This window comes from Homo sapiens, chromosome 12 (genome assembly GCF_000001405.40).
Source record: "Homo sapiens chromosome 12, GRCh38.p14 Primary Assembly".
NCBI lineage: Eukaryota > Metazoa > Chordata > Mammalia > Primates > Hominidae > Homo > Homo sapiens.
In genome coordinates this window covers 132,686,793-132,700,535 of record NC_000012.12, presented here as the reverse complement: position 1 = coordinate 132,700,535, position 13,743 = coordinate 132,686,793, and the positions used below count along the sequence as shown (strand labels likewise).

Below are 13,743 nucleotides of genomic sequence, written 5' to 3'. Positions count from 1 at the left end.
AAAGAAATGAATAACCTCATTAAAAAAGTGGGCAACGGATACAAACATTTTTCAAAAGAAGAAAAACAAGTGGCCAAGAAACATATGAAAAAATGTTCAACATCACTAATCATCAGAGAAATGCAAATTAAAACCACAAGGAGATACCACCTCACGCGAGTCAGAATGGCTATTATTAAAAAGTCAAGTGGCCAGGCGCGGTGGCTCATGACCGTAATTTAAGCACTTTGGGAGGCTGAGGTGGGCGGATCACGAGGTCAGCAGTTTGAGACCAGCCTGACCAACATGGGAAAACCCTGTCTCTACCAAAAAAAAAAAATACAAAAATTAGTTGGGCATGGTGGCGTGTGCCTGTAATCCCAGCTACTCAGGAGGCTGAGGCAGGAGAATCACTTGAACCCGGGAGGCGGAGGTTGCGGTGAGCCGAGATCGTGCCACTGCACTCCAGCCTGGCTGACACAGTGAAACTCTGCCTCAAAAAAAAAAAAAAAAAGGTCAAAAAACAATAGATGCTGGCAAGAATGTGGAGAAAAGTGAACACTTACACACTGCTGGTGGGAATGCAAATTAGTACAGCCCTTCTGGAAAACAGTATGGAAATTTCTCAAAGACCTGAAAATAGAACCACCATTCGATCCAGCAATCCCACTACTGGGCCTCTACCCAAAGGAAAAGGAATCATATCAAACAATCCCTGCCCTCGTGTGTTTATCACAGCGCTATCCACAACAGCAAACACGTGGAATCAACCTAAACGTCCCCCAACAGAGGACTGGATAAAGAAAAAGTGCCATAAATACACCACGGAACACTACTCTGCTATAAAAAAAAGAATGAACTCGGCCGCGCACGGTGGCTCACGCCTGTAATCTCAGCACTTTGGGAGGCTGAGGCAGGAAAATCGTTGAACCTGGGGGGCGGAGGTTGCAGTGAGATGAGATTGCGCCACTACACTCCAGCCTGGATGAAAGAGCGAGACTCTGTGTCAAAAAAAAAAAAAAAAAAAAAAGCATGTCTTTTGCAGTGACGTCGATTGAACCGGGGGCCATTATCCCAAGTGAAACAACTCACCAATGGAAAGTCAAACACTGCATGTTCTCACTTTTTTTTTCCAAGACAGGGTCTCGCCATCTCACTCTGTTGCCCATGCTGGCTGGAGTGCAGTGGCGTGATGTCGGCTCACTTGGCCTCAACCTCCTGACATCAAGCCTCCGTCTCAGCCTCCTGAGTAGCTGGGACTACAGCCATGTGCCACCACAACCCTTTGATTTTTAATTTTTTTGTAGAGAAGGGGTCTCACTCTGTTGCCCAGGCTGGTCTCGACATCCTGGGTTCAAGTGACCTTCCTGCCTCAGCCGATGTTCTCACTCATAAGTGGTGGCTAAACAGTGGGTATACATGGACCAACAGAGGGAAATAACAGACACCAGAGACTTGAAAAGGTGGCGGGGAGAAGAGGGTTGAAAATCACCACTGACTACTTGGGTGATGGGAAGTAAAAGCTCAGACTTCACCACAGCACAGTCACATAAGAAATCTGCACTCGTACCCTCTAAATATATACAAACTAAAAAAAATTTTTAAAGAAATGCTTAAATATTTTCTTGTTTAAAGTAAGGGGGAGAAGCTGGGTACAGTGGCTCATGCCTGTAATGCCAAGGTGGGCATATCACTTGAGGCCAGGAGTTCAAGACCAGCCTGGCCAACACAGAGGAACCCCATTGCTACTAAAAATACAAAAATTAGCCAGGCGTGGTGGTGGGCGCCTGTTGTCCCAGCTACTCTGGAGGCTGAGACATGAAAATCACTTGAACCCGAGAGGCGGAGGTTGCAGTGAGCCGATATTGTGCCACCACACTCCAGCCTGGGCGAGAGTGAGACTCCATCTCAAAAAAAAGAAAATAATCCAGCAAAAGAACAAAGAGTGCAGATAATTGCCTGTACAGATGGAAATGAGAATATTTCAAAATACTGGGGATTGCCCAATAAATGGTAATGAGAAAATTTGCTATGTAAGTGGAAAAATCAACACAGAAGTCTATCTCCTACTGTACACAAGTAAAACCATAAGAATACCGGAGGAAAGCAGAGGAGAATATTTCTATTATCTTCCTGTAAGGAAAGGCATGAAGGAGAATAATGTCATGTTTGAATACATGAACCTTTATAACTTCTGTATGGAGAAGTGAATGGTTAAAACAAATTTACTTTCAGGACAGAAGGTGACGCCAGGTGCAGTGGCTCACACCTGTAATCCTAGCACTTTGAGAGACCGAGGCGGGTGGATCACGAGGTCAGGAGTTCAATACCAACCTGGCCAAGATGGTGAAACCCCGTCTCTACTAAAAACACAAAACAATTAGCCGGGCATGGTGGCGGGCACCTGCAATCCCAGCTATTTGGGAGGCTGAGGCAGAGAATTGCTTGAACCCAAGAGGCGAAGGTTGCAGTGAGCTGAGATCACGCACTACACTCCAGCCTGGGCAACAGTGTGAGACTCCGTCTCAAAAAAAAAAAAAAAAAGGTGACACGTCTCAGACACACAGCACAACCTGGCTGGTGCTCCTAGAGATGGTGAGGATTTGAAGGTGCTCGTGAACGGGGGAGGTGGGACAGTCAGAACAGACACACCTGCTGAGTGCAGGTGAACACGCCTCCCATGCGTTGGATTCTGACTGGGATTATGCCGGTAGGTTAACCTCCAGGCCCGGAACTCTTCTGTGTTATCAGTAGGGGTCTCAAACTTCTTGTGCCACAGATCTCTTTGGCAGTTTAGTGAAGCCTGTGGACCCCCTTCTCAGAATGTTTTGTAATCTATAAAATAAAATACGGCTGGGCGCAGTGGCTCACGCTTGTAATCCCAGCACTTTGGGAGGCCAAGGCAGGCGGATCACGAGGTCAGGAGTTCAAGACAAGCCTGGCCAACATGGTGAAACCCCATCTCTACTAAAAATACAAAAATAAGCTGGGTGTGGTAGCGGGCTCCTGTAATCCCAGCTACTCAGGAGGCTGAGGCAGGAGAATCGTTTGAACCCGGGAGGCAGAGGTTGCAGTGAGCTGAAATCGCACCACTGCACTCCAGCCTGGGCAACAGGGCGAGATTCTGCCTCAAAAATAAAAAATAAATAAATAAATAAATAAAATAGGACTACAAAGGAACCAATAATACTGAAATACAGTTATCAAAATATTCAGAAAAAATTTTGACAGACTAATGTGTTTATTTATTTATTTATTTATTTTTGTCTTTTGAACCAGTGTCTTGCTCTGTTACCCAGGCTGGAGTGCAGTGGTGTGATCTCTGCTCACTGCAGCCTCCACATCTTGGGCTCAAGGGATCTTCTCACCTCAGCCTCCCAAACAGCTGGAACTACAGGTGCACATCACCACACTGGCTCATTTTTTACTTTTTGAGAGATGGGTATTCGCCATGTTGCCCAGGCTGGTCCCGAACTCCTGGCCTCAAGCTATCCACTGGCCTTGGCCTCACAAAGTGCTGGGATTACAGGTGTGCACCATCATGCCCGGCCCTGTTTCTTTTTTCTTTTTTCTTTTTTTTTTGAGGCAGAGTCTTGCTCTGTTGCCCAGACTGGAGTGCAGTGGCACAATCTCAGCTCACCACAACCTCCACCTCCCGGCTTCAAGCGATTCTCCTGCCTCAGCCTCCCGAGTAGCTGGGATTACAAGCACGCACCACCATACCTGGCTAATTTGTTTTGTTTTGTTTTTTGTTTTTGAGACGGAGTCTGGCTCTATTACCCAGGCTAGAGTGCAGTGGCGACATCTCGGCTCACGGCAAGCTCCACCTCCCGGGTTCACGCCATTCTCCTGCCTCAGCCTCCCAAGTAGCTGGGACTACAGGCGACTGCCACTGTGCCCAGCTAAATTTTTTGTATTTTTAGTAGAGACGAGGTTTCACCATGTTGGCCAGGCTGGTCTCGAACTCCTGACCTCAGGTGATCCACCCGCCTCGCCCTCCCAAAGTGCTGGGATTACAGGTGTGAGCCACTGTGCCCGGCCTGTTTCTTTCTTTACACAGTGACAAGACCTCTAATGGCAGGTCCAAGTAGTAATGAGCATAAATTATATTTCGAGATATCTGTAACAACTGATGTGATATAAAAATATCTGATTAGCTGGGTGTGGTGGCACGCACATGTGGTCCCAGCTACTTGGGAGGCTGAGGCAAGAGGATCGCTTGAACCCAGGAGTTTGAGGTTTGCAGTGAGCTATGATTGTGCTACTGCACTGCAGCCTGGGTGACAGAGTGAAACCCTGTCTTTAAATAAATAAATAAATAAAGTGACTCTACTGGGTACAAACAGGTCCTGCCAATACTAGATGTTTGCTTCCTATATTCATAAAAGAAAATGCAAAATTTCAATTTGAGTGAAAAATCTGCAGACCCTCTGAATTCTGCCGAGAATGTCAGGTGAAGAATCCCTGTGCTAAACGAAGAGCTGCAGTAAGTGCTGTGGCAGACACCCACCTCCAGAAAGTTCATGATGAGGAAGAACAACATGAGGAAGGCCGGTGCAAAGACGAGGCGGTCCAGGAGAAGCCTCCTGAGCCCTGCCAGGGGGACCTCAGGAGGGATCCAATGTTCCATGAAGAAGTAGAAGAAGTGACTCAGCGGCCCTGTGAAGAAGAACCTGAGGCCCCCAGGGGGTGTGAGCCAGATTGTGGTTCTCTGGATGTGCTCTTCTCTGGTCTAGCTTCACCCCCAAATCCCAGGTCCTAACCCCTGCTTCCTGATGTCCCTCAGTATTGGCCACACAGGTCTGTACAGATAAGTCGGCTTCAGGGGCGCTCTGTCTCTGTTGCTCTAACAGACCAGACTTGCTCCTGCCGTTGACTCTCTGCTCCCAGCGCGTCCCCGCCTAGCTATGTTGGCTCGCTCCTCCTCACACTGTCAGCTTCCAGGTCGTCCCAGCACGTGTGCACGCCTGTGCTAACACTCTTGGCCCTGGTTCATTTTCTGCCTAGCACTGTCCTTATCTCATATGTTAGGTTAGTCTGTGCCTCTCGTCCCCCCTAGAAGGCAGGCTCCACAAGGGAGGCTACGTCTTCTGTCCACTGCAGTGCCCAGAACAGGGCCAGGCTTCGAGAAGCACTCAATAATGAATCATCAGACATGTCCCTGGTTGTGGAGCTTTTCATTAAACTCACTAGGCTAACTGGCAAGGGAACTCACTAGGTTAACTGGCAAGGGCACTCACTAGGCTAACAAACTGGCAAGGGAACTCACTAGGCTAACTAACTGGCAAGGGCACTCACTAGGCTAACTGGCAAGGGCACTCACTAACTGGCAAGGGCACTAACTGGCTAAGGGAGCTCACTAACTAACTGTCAAGGGCGCTCACTAACTAACTGTCAAGGGCGCTCACTAACTAACTGGCTAAGGGAGCTCATTAACTAACTGGCAAGGGAGCTCTCTAACTAACTGGCTAAGGGAGCTCACTAACTAACTGGCAAGGGCACTCACTAACTAACTGGCTAAGGGAGCTCACTAACTAACTGGCTAAGGGAGCTCACTAACTAACTGGCTAAGGGAGCTCACTAACTAACTGGCAAGGGAGCTCACTAACTAACTGGCTAAGGGAGCTCACTAACTGACTGGCAAGGGCGCTCACTAACTGACTGGCAAGGGCGCTCACTAACTAACTGGCTAAGGGAGCTCACTAACTGGCTAAGGGAGCTAACTAACTGGCTAAGGGCGCTCACTAACTAACTGGCAAGGGCGCTCACTAACTAACTGGCAAGGGCACTCACTAACTGACTAAGGGAGCTCACTAACTAACTGGCAAGGGAGCTCACTAACTGGCAAGGGAGCTCACTAACTGGCTAAGGGAGCTCACTAACTAACTGGCTAAGGGAGCTCACTAACTAACTGGCAAGGGAGCTCTCTAACTAGCTAAGGGAGCTCACTAACTGGCTAAGGGAGCTCACTAACTAACTGGCAAGGGCGCTCACTAACTAACTGGCAAGGGCGCTCACTATCTAACTGGCTAAGGGCGCTCACTTAACTAACTGGCAAGGGCGCTCACTAACTAACTGGCTAAGGGAGCTCACTAACTGGCTAAGGGAGCTCACTAACTAACTGGCTAAGGGAGCTCACTAACTGGCAAGGGCGCTCACTAACTAACTGGCAAGGGCGCTCACTAACTGGCAAGGGCGCTCACTAACTGGCAAGGGCGCTCACTAACTAACTGACTAAGGGAGCTCACTAACTAACTGGCAAGGGAGCTCACTAACTAACTGGCAAGGGAGCTCACTAACTGGCTAAGGGAGCTCACTAACTAACTGGCTAAGGGAGCTCACTAACTAACTGGCAAGGGAGCTCTCTAACTAGCTAAGGGAGCTCACTAACTGGCTAAGGGAGCTCACTAACTAACTGGCAAGGGCGCTCACTAACTAACTGGCAAGGGCGCTCACTAACTGGCTAAGGGCGCTCACTATCTAACTGGCTAAGGGCGCTCACTTAACTAACTGGCAAGGGCGCTCACTAACTAACTGGCTAAGGGAGCTCACTAACTAACTGGCAAGGGAGCTCACTAACTGGCTAAGGGAGCTCACTAACTAACTGGCAAGGGCGCTCACTAACTAACTGGCAAGGGCGCTCACTAACTGGCTAAGGGCGCTCACTATCTAACTGGCTAAGGGAGCTCACTAACTAACTGGCAAGGGAGCTCACTAACTAACTGGCAAGGGAGCTCACTAACTAACTGGCTAAGGGAGCTAACTAACTAACTGGCAAGGGCGCTCACTAACTAACTGGCTAAGGGAGCTCACTAACTAACTGGCAAGGGAGCTCACTAACTAACTGGCTAAGGGAGCTCACTAACTAACTGGCAAGGGCGCTCACTAACTAACTGGCAAGGGCGCTCACTAACTGGCAAGGGCGCTCACTGACTGGCAAGGGCGCTCACTAACTAACTGGCAAGGGCGCTCACTAACTGGCAAGGGCGCTCACTAACTAACTGACTAAGGGAGCTCACTAACTAACTGGCAAGGGAGCTCACTAACTAACTGGCAAGGGAGCTCACTAACTGGCTAAGGGAGCTCACTAACTAACTGGCTAAGGGAGCTCACTAACTAACTGGCAAGGGAGCTCACTAACTAACTAAGGGAGCTCACTAACTGGCTAAGGGAGCTCACTAACTAACTGGCAAGGGTGCTCACTAACTAACTGGCAAGGGCGCTCACTAACTAACTGGCTAAGGGCGCTCACTATCTAACTGGCTAAGGGCGCTCACTTAACTAACTGGCAAGGGCACTCACTAACTGGCAAGGGAGCTCACTAACTGGCTAAGGGAGCTCACTAACTAACTGGCTAAGGGAGCTCACTAACTAACTGGCAAGGGAGCTCACTAACTAACTAAGGGAGCTCACTAACTGGCTAAGGGAGCTCACTAACTAACTGGCAAGGGTGCTCACTAACTAACTGGCAAGGGCGCTCACTAACTAACTGGCTAAGGGCGCTCACTATCTAACTGGCTAAGGGCGCTCACTTAACTAACTGGCAAGGGCGCTCACTAACTGGCAAGGGAGCTCACTAACTGGCTAAGGGAGCTCACTAACTAACTGGCAAGGGCGCTCACTAACTGGCAAGGGCGCTCACTAACTAACTGACTAAGGGAGCTCACTAACTAACTGGCAAGGGAGCTCACTAACTAACTGGCAAGGGAGCTCACTAACTGGCTAAGGGAGCTCACTAACTAACTGGCTAAGGGAGCTCACTAACTAACTGGCAAGGGAGCTCTCTAACTAGCTAAGGGAGCTCACTAACTGGCTAAGGGAGCTCACTAACTAACTGGCAAGGGTGCTCACTAACTAACTGGCAAGGGCGCTCACTAACTAACTGGCTAAGGGCGCTCACTAACTAACTGGCTAAGGGCGCTCACTATCTAACTGGCTAAGGGCGCTCACTTAACTAACTGGCAAGGGCGCTCACTAACTAACTGGCAAGGGTGCTCACTAACTAACTGGCAAGGGCGCTCACTAACTAACTGGCAAGGGAGCTCACTAACTAACTGGCTAAGGGAGCTCACTAATTAACTGGCAAGGGAGCTCACTAACTAACTGGCTAAGGGCGCTCACTAACTAACTGGCTAAGGGAGCTCACTAATTAACTGGCTAAGGGAGCTCACTAACTAACTGGCAAGGGAGCTCACTAACTAACTGGCTAAGGGCGCTCACTAACTAACTGGCTAAGGGAGCTCACTAATTAACTGGCAAGGGAGCTCACTAACTAACTGGCTAAGGGAGCTCACTAACTAACTGGCTCAGGGAGCTCACTAACTAACTGGCTAAGGGCGCTCACTAACTAACTGGCTAAGGGAGCTCACTAACTAACTGGCTAAGGGAGCTCACTAACTGGCAAGGGAGCTCACTAACTAACTGGCTAAGGGAGCTCACTAACTAACTGGCAAGGGCGCTCACTAACTAACTGGCTCAGGGAGCTCACTACCTAACTGGCTCAGGGAGCTCACTAACTGGCAAGGGAGCTCACTAACTAACTGGCAAGGGTGCTCACTAACTAACTGGCAAGGGAGCTCACTAACTAACTGGCAAGGGCAGGACCTGGTGCAGCACTCTAGGTTGTGTGCGTTGCTACTAATCATTCCCCTGTGTGTTTGGGAGAGAATGGAACCAGCTGCCACATCTACTGGGACAAGAGGCCTGCAGTTCCATAAAATTCAGCAACAAAAAGAGGGGTCTTTCAACTTGTGACGTTGACAGTCTTTAGATAAGTGGTTCTCAGTGTTTTTTCCCACCCAGTCATAGGGGGTTATGTGGCCTATGCAGGGATTCTCAGTGGGGAAGGGGACTGAAGTCCTGTGGATGGGAAAACTGTACTTGGATGAGGCCTGCTAGGTGATCTCATCACCTGCCCCTCTTGGGGGGATTACTGCTTTAAATACAGTATGGAAAAATCCATGATGACTCAAGTTAGCAAGCTTGGAAGTATAAAAATGATCTTCAGGAATTCTGAATTAAAGAAAACATCACTGTAGTTGGAAAATACTTCACATTACTGTTGGCCGAGAGCTCACGGTGGATTAAATTGGTAAAACTCTTGAATTACTGTGCTTTTGCAACTCAGAAAGTGGTTCAGAAACTGGACATTTTTCAGGGTACCGAAGCATTTATTTTCTGGATGTTTACACTATGAAAATAACAATAGAGGCCAGGCACTGTGGCTCGCGCCTGTAATCCCAGCACTTTGGGAGGCCAAGGTGGGCGGATCACGAGGTCAGGAGATCCAGACCATCCTGTGAATGGTGAAACCCCGTCTCTACTAAAAATACAAAAAATTAGCCGGGCGTGGTGGCAGGTGCCTGTAGTCCCAGCTACTCGGGAGACTGAGTCGGGAGAATGGCGTGAACCCAGGAGGCAGAGCTTGCAGTAAGCCAAGATCGCGCCACCGCACTCCAGTCTGGGCAGCAGAGTGAGATTCCGTCTCAAAAAAAAAAAAAAAAAATTAAAATAACAATAGAAACTAACTGGTCAAATTGGAGTCAGTTTTCCCTTTCCATGAGCCCAGTCTAGGACGCTTTCAGGGTTTTTGAATCCTGAAGTCTGACTTTAGGTTAAGTTGAGTTACTTGTCCTCAGGTTTGCCTCTCAGCCCAATTAAGACAGTCACCCCTACCCATCCAATTAAAAAGAAACATGATAAAACCACAAATGTGAGCCTGTACTCCTAGCACTGTAATCCCAGCACTTTGGGAGGCCAAGGAAGGTGGATCACTTGAGGTCAGGAGTTCAAGACCAGCCTGGCCAACATGGTGAAACCCCATCTCTACTAAAAATAACAAAAATTAGCTGGGCATGGCGGTGTGTGCCTGTAATCCCAGCTATTTGAGAGGCTGAGGCAGGAGAATCACTTGAACCAGAGAGGCAGAGGTTGCAGTAAGCCTGGGTGACAGAGTGAGACTCTGTCTCCAAAAAAAAAGAAAAAACAAAAAAAACCACGTATGCGTATATATGCCATACAAACTATATGAACCATTCGAGTTTTTTCCCATGATGATTACTACAATGGTTTTTAAAAAATTATATTTCCAAATAAGAGTACTCCAACTACTCGGTTTTGGTGCCCAGCTTGGTTGCACTCAGCGGCTACAAGGTAAACCCACCCCTTGTATGGCACTCACCCGTAAACGGCATATCTCAGAGGCCCACCGACATCCAGACTTCTAGAGTTTTCTTTTTTCCGCTTCTTCTCAATCATCTGGGCCAGGAAGTTCCCAAGTGCTGACAAAATGCCACTGTGGAGAGGGAGGTCATCAGAAAACAGCAGTGACCAGCAGGAGGGTGTCCCTTTCCCATAGGTGAATTAGCAGGGCCGTTCTGAGGCCATGCAGCAGATGGGCGGGGGGTAGGAATTCTTGTTAAAGCGGCTGCAATGTATAGTTCTTGTATCAAAAGGTGGAGACGGTGGACTTAAACACACAGGTAAGGACAAGTGGCTTTCCAGTATCTATGTCAACATCCTGGCTGTGATGTTATACTATAATTTGGCAGTTTGGGAGTTGGGAAGCTGTGTGGTTATGAACGGGCAACAGGACAGCCCTATCATGACGCTGTTCTGCATTTTGACTGTGGTAGTGAACACAAGAATGTACAGATGTGATAAAACTGTACAGAACAGATACAGCTACAAGAAAAATGGAGAAATCCGAATAGGATCTGTGGACTGTGTCCACGCAATGCCCTGGTCGATACTGCACTACGTTTCACAGAATGTAACCAATGGGGGACACTGGGAAGGTGTGCAAGGAATCTCTCCATGTTAGTCTTGTAACTGTTTGTGAATCTACAATTATCACAATAAAAATTTCCATAAAAAGGTGGAACAGGCCCAGTGGCTCCCTCCAGGCCTTGGTTTGTATTTGCCTTCTGAGAAGCTCTCTGGACTATAAAATCCAAAATTCCTAGCACGGACCTAGACACCTTCTCGATCAGATCCCTGGCGATTCCCTTCACATCTCCTGCCTCTTGCTCAGGGTTCACTTTCTCCACACACAGATCTTCCCTCCCTCGGGACTGAGTCCAAGCTGCACCTCTCTCCGCCTTTCTTTAACGCCGGCCTTCCCTTCAAAACCTAACAGAGACCTTTGCCCTGCTGTTCCCTGTGCCAGGAGAGCCTCTGCTCCACTTCTTTACACAGCCTGTTCAATGTCACCTTCTCAAAACACCTTCCCTGGCCGTGTCTCCACCCGCGCCGTGCGGACCCGCGCCCCGCAGACTCGCTCCCTTGGCCCTGTCTCCACACGCTCCATGTGGACCCGCTCCCCTGGCCCTGTCTTCACCCGCACCACGCAGACCCGCTCCCTTGGCCCTGTCTTTACCCGTGCCCCGCAGACCCGCTCCCCTCGCCCTGTCTTCACCCGCGCCCCGCAGACCCGCTCCCTTGGCCCTGTCTTCACCCGCGCCCCGCAGACCCGCTCCCTTGGCCCTGTCTCCACCCGCGCCATGAGGACCCGCTCCCCTGGCCCTGTCTTTACCCGCGCCCCCAAGACCCGCTCCCCTGGCGCTGTCTTCACCCGCGCCCCGCAGACTCGCTCCCTTGGCCCTGTCTCCACACGCTCCATGAGGACCCGCTCCCCTGGCCCTGTCTTCACCCGTGCCCCGCAGACCCGCTCCCCTGGCCCTGTCTTCACCCGCGCCCCCAAGACCCGCTCCCCTCGCCCTGTCTTCACCCGTGCCCCGCAGACCCGCTCCCCTGGCCCTGTCTTCACCCGCGCCCCCAAGACCCGCTCCCCTCGCCCTGTCTTCACCCGTGCCCCGCAGACCCGCTCCCCTGGCCCTGTCTTCACCCGCGCCCCCAAGACCCGCTCCCCTCGCCCTGTCTTCACCCGTGCCCCGCAGACCCGCTCCCCTGGCCCTGTCTTCACCCGCACCACGCAGACCCGCTCCCTTGGCCCTGTCTTTACCCGTGCCCCGCAGACCCGCTCCCCTCGCCCTGTCTTCACCCGCGCCCCGCAGACCCGCTCCCTTGGCCCTGTCTTCACCCGCGCCCCGCAGACCCGCTCCCTTGGCCCTGTCTCCACCCGCGCCATGAGGACCCGCTCCCCTGGCCCTGTCTTTACCCGCGCCCCCAAGACCCGCTCCCCTGGCGCTGTCTTCACCCGCGCCCCGCAGACTCGCTCCCTTGGCCCTGTCTCCACACGCTCCATGAGGACCCGCTCCCCTGGCCCTGTCTTCACCCGTGCCCCGCAGACCCGCTCCCCTGGCCCTGTCTTCACCCGCGCCCCGCAGACCCGCTCCCCTCGCCCTGTCTTCACCCGCGCCCCCAAGACCCGCTCCCCTCGCCCTGTCTTCACCCGCGCCCCGCAGACCCGCTCCCCTCGCCCTGTCTTCACCCGCGCCCCGCAGACCCGCTCCCCTCGCCCTGTCTTCACCCGCGCCTGCGGACCCGCTCCCCTTGCCGTGGCTTCCCCGGGCGCGCGGGGCCCCTGTTGGGTCCTTGGGTGGAACCTCAGCGCCGACCCCCGGGTCTGGGCGGGCCCTCCACGCGCTGGGAGGGCGGGATCCGCAAGGCGCCTCACAATCGCTGACTGCGGACGCGGGTGTCGCCGCGGGAAGTTCAGCGCCGGGTCGGAGGGCGCCCGCTCCGGGGGTTCTGACCCGGGCGCGCCCCCAGCCTGGTCCCGGCCCGGCGCTCCCGTCCAGGCCCCGCGCCGCTGCGGCCGACCTGGGGCCGGGGCGGCGTCCGATTCCCGCGCCCCCGCTCACCTGGTGGCCGCCTTGGTGAGCACCGGGTAGAGCCGCAGGAAGAGCAGGTACTGGGCGAGCGCCCGCCGCGGCAGCGCCCCGAGCCCGGCTTCGGCCCGCAGCCTGGACGCGGCCGGCGCCATCGCCTCCCCAGCGCCGTGCCGCCGGGGGCACCGACCCCACCTCAGGCTGGCCGGGCGCGGAGCCCGAGGCGCCGAGAGCGGAGTGGGGACCGCCTGACATTTCCGGCCCCACCGCGGCCCGCAGCGCCGCCCGGTCCCAACCCCACGGTGCGCCGCGCGCGCCTACCACACACTTTTCCCCGGTCCCTGCCGGCCACCTCCCCCGCCGGGCGCCGGCGCCAATTGGAGCGCCTCGGGGGGCGGGGGAGGGGCGGAGCGCGCCTCTTGATGGACGGCGGCATTTCCGGCTCTCGCGAGTCTGGGTGGGAGCGCGCCAAATTTCTCCCCTGAAGCAGAGGTGGTAGCCAACGGCTCCATGTCTCTGAGGAGCGGCGGGCGGCGGCGCGCGGACCCAGGCGCGGATGGCGAGGCCAGCAGGTGAGGGGCGCCCTCCTGAGGCTCTCGGGCCGGCCCTCCGGAGGGTGCCATGGGGCCGTCCTCGGCTGGCGCCGCCGAGGCGGGAGGGAGGCCCGGTTCCCGCAGCCGCCCGCACTCGCCGCGCCTGACTGGGGTAGGGCGGCGCGCCCCGACCGCCGACGGAGGGGCTCGGGGCGGGCGGAGGCGCTACGGGCGCGGCTTCTTTGCGGGGAAACGAGGCGGGCCGCGCGGCCTTTCCCTGCTCGGCTCTTTCTGAGGTTTTTCGGGCCTCGCCTTCCGCGCAGCTGCGTTTGGGACCTGCCGCGCGGCGGGGGCGATGAGAGCGGCGGGACCCGGGCCAGGCCCTGCGGGGTGGACGCGCGGCTGGGGAGGGTGCGGGGAGGGGCGGGGCCGGGGACCCTGCCTGGGGGCCTAGCGCTGGGGGAGGCCGAGGCGGGCGGATCGCTGGAGCCCAGGATCCT

The 13,743-nt window shown here is 53.5% G+C and overlaps 2 protein-coding genes across 6 annotated transcripts in view, besides 2 other annotated features; one reads left to right on the top strand and one right to left on the bottom strand.

Moving 5' to 3' along the window:
- PXMP2 (peroxisomal membrane protein 2) overlaps positions 1-12,949 on the bottom strand; it is a 17,399-nt gene extending 4,450 nt beyond the window's left edge. The window contains exons 1-3 of the mRNA NM_018663.3: positions 12,744-12,949; positions 10,160-10,273; positions 4,490-4,652 (exon numbers count right to left, since the gene is read on the bottom strand). Coding sequence (NP_061133.1) covers positions 4,490-4,652; positions 10,160-10,273; positions 12,744-12,865 — 399 coding nt within the window. The 5' untranslated portion in view covers positions 12,866-12,949. The remainder of the gene's footprint in view (positions 1-4,489; positions 4,653-10,159; positions 10,274-12,743) is intronic.
- Positions 8,689-8,858: an enhancer, noted in NCBI's record as "experimental_26027 CRE fragment used in MPRA reporter constructs". NCBI's record gives its function as "activates a minimal promoter by MPRAs in K562 erythroleukemia cells, with activity observed for both the introgressed and non-introgressed 12:133268349 variant alleles {active_cell/tissue: K562}" and the evidence as "EXISTENCE:reporter gene assay evidence [ECO:0000049][PMID:34662402]".
- Positions 12,434-13,743: a silencer, noted in NCBI's record as "silent region_5123". NCBI's record gives its function as "represses an Ori minimal core promoter by ATAC-STARR-seq in GM12878 lymphoblastoid cells {active_cell/tissue: GM12878}" and the evidence as "EXISTENCE:reporter gene assay evidence [ECO:0000049][PMID:35858748]".
- POLE (DNA polymerase epsilon, catalytic subunit) overlaps positions 13,194-13,743 on the top strand; it is a 63,581-nt gene continuing 63,031 nt past the window's right edge. For all 5 annotated transcript variants that reach the window (XR_941395.3, NM_006231.4, XM_011534795.4 and 2 more), the window contains exon 1: positions 13,194-13,282. Coding sequence is in view for 4 of the 5 variants with exons in the window: in NM_006231.4 (NP_006222.2) it covers positions 13,221-13,282 (62 nt within the window). In the remaining variant the exon portion in view is untranslated. The remainder of the gene's footprint in view (positions 13,283-13,743) is intronic.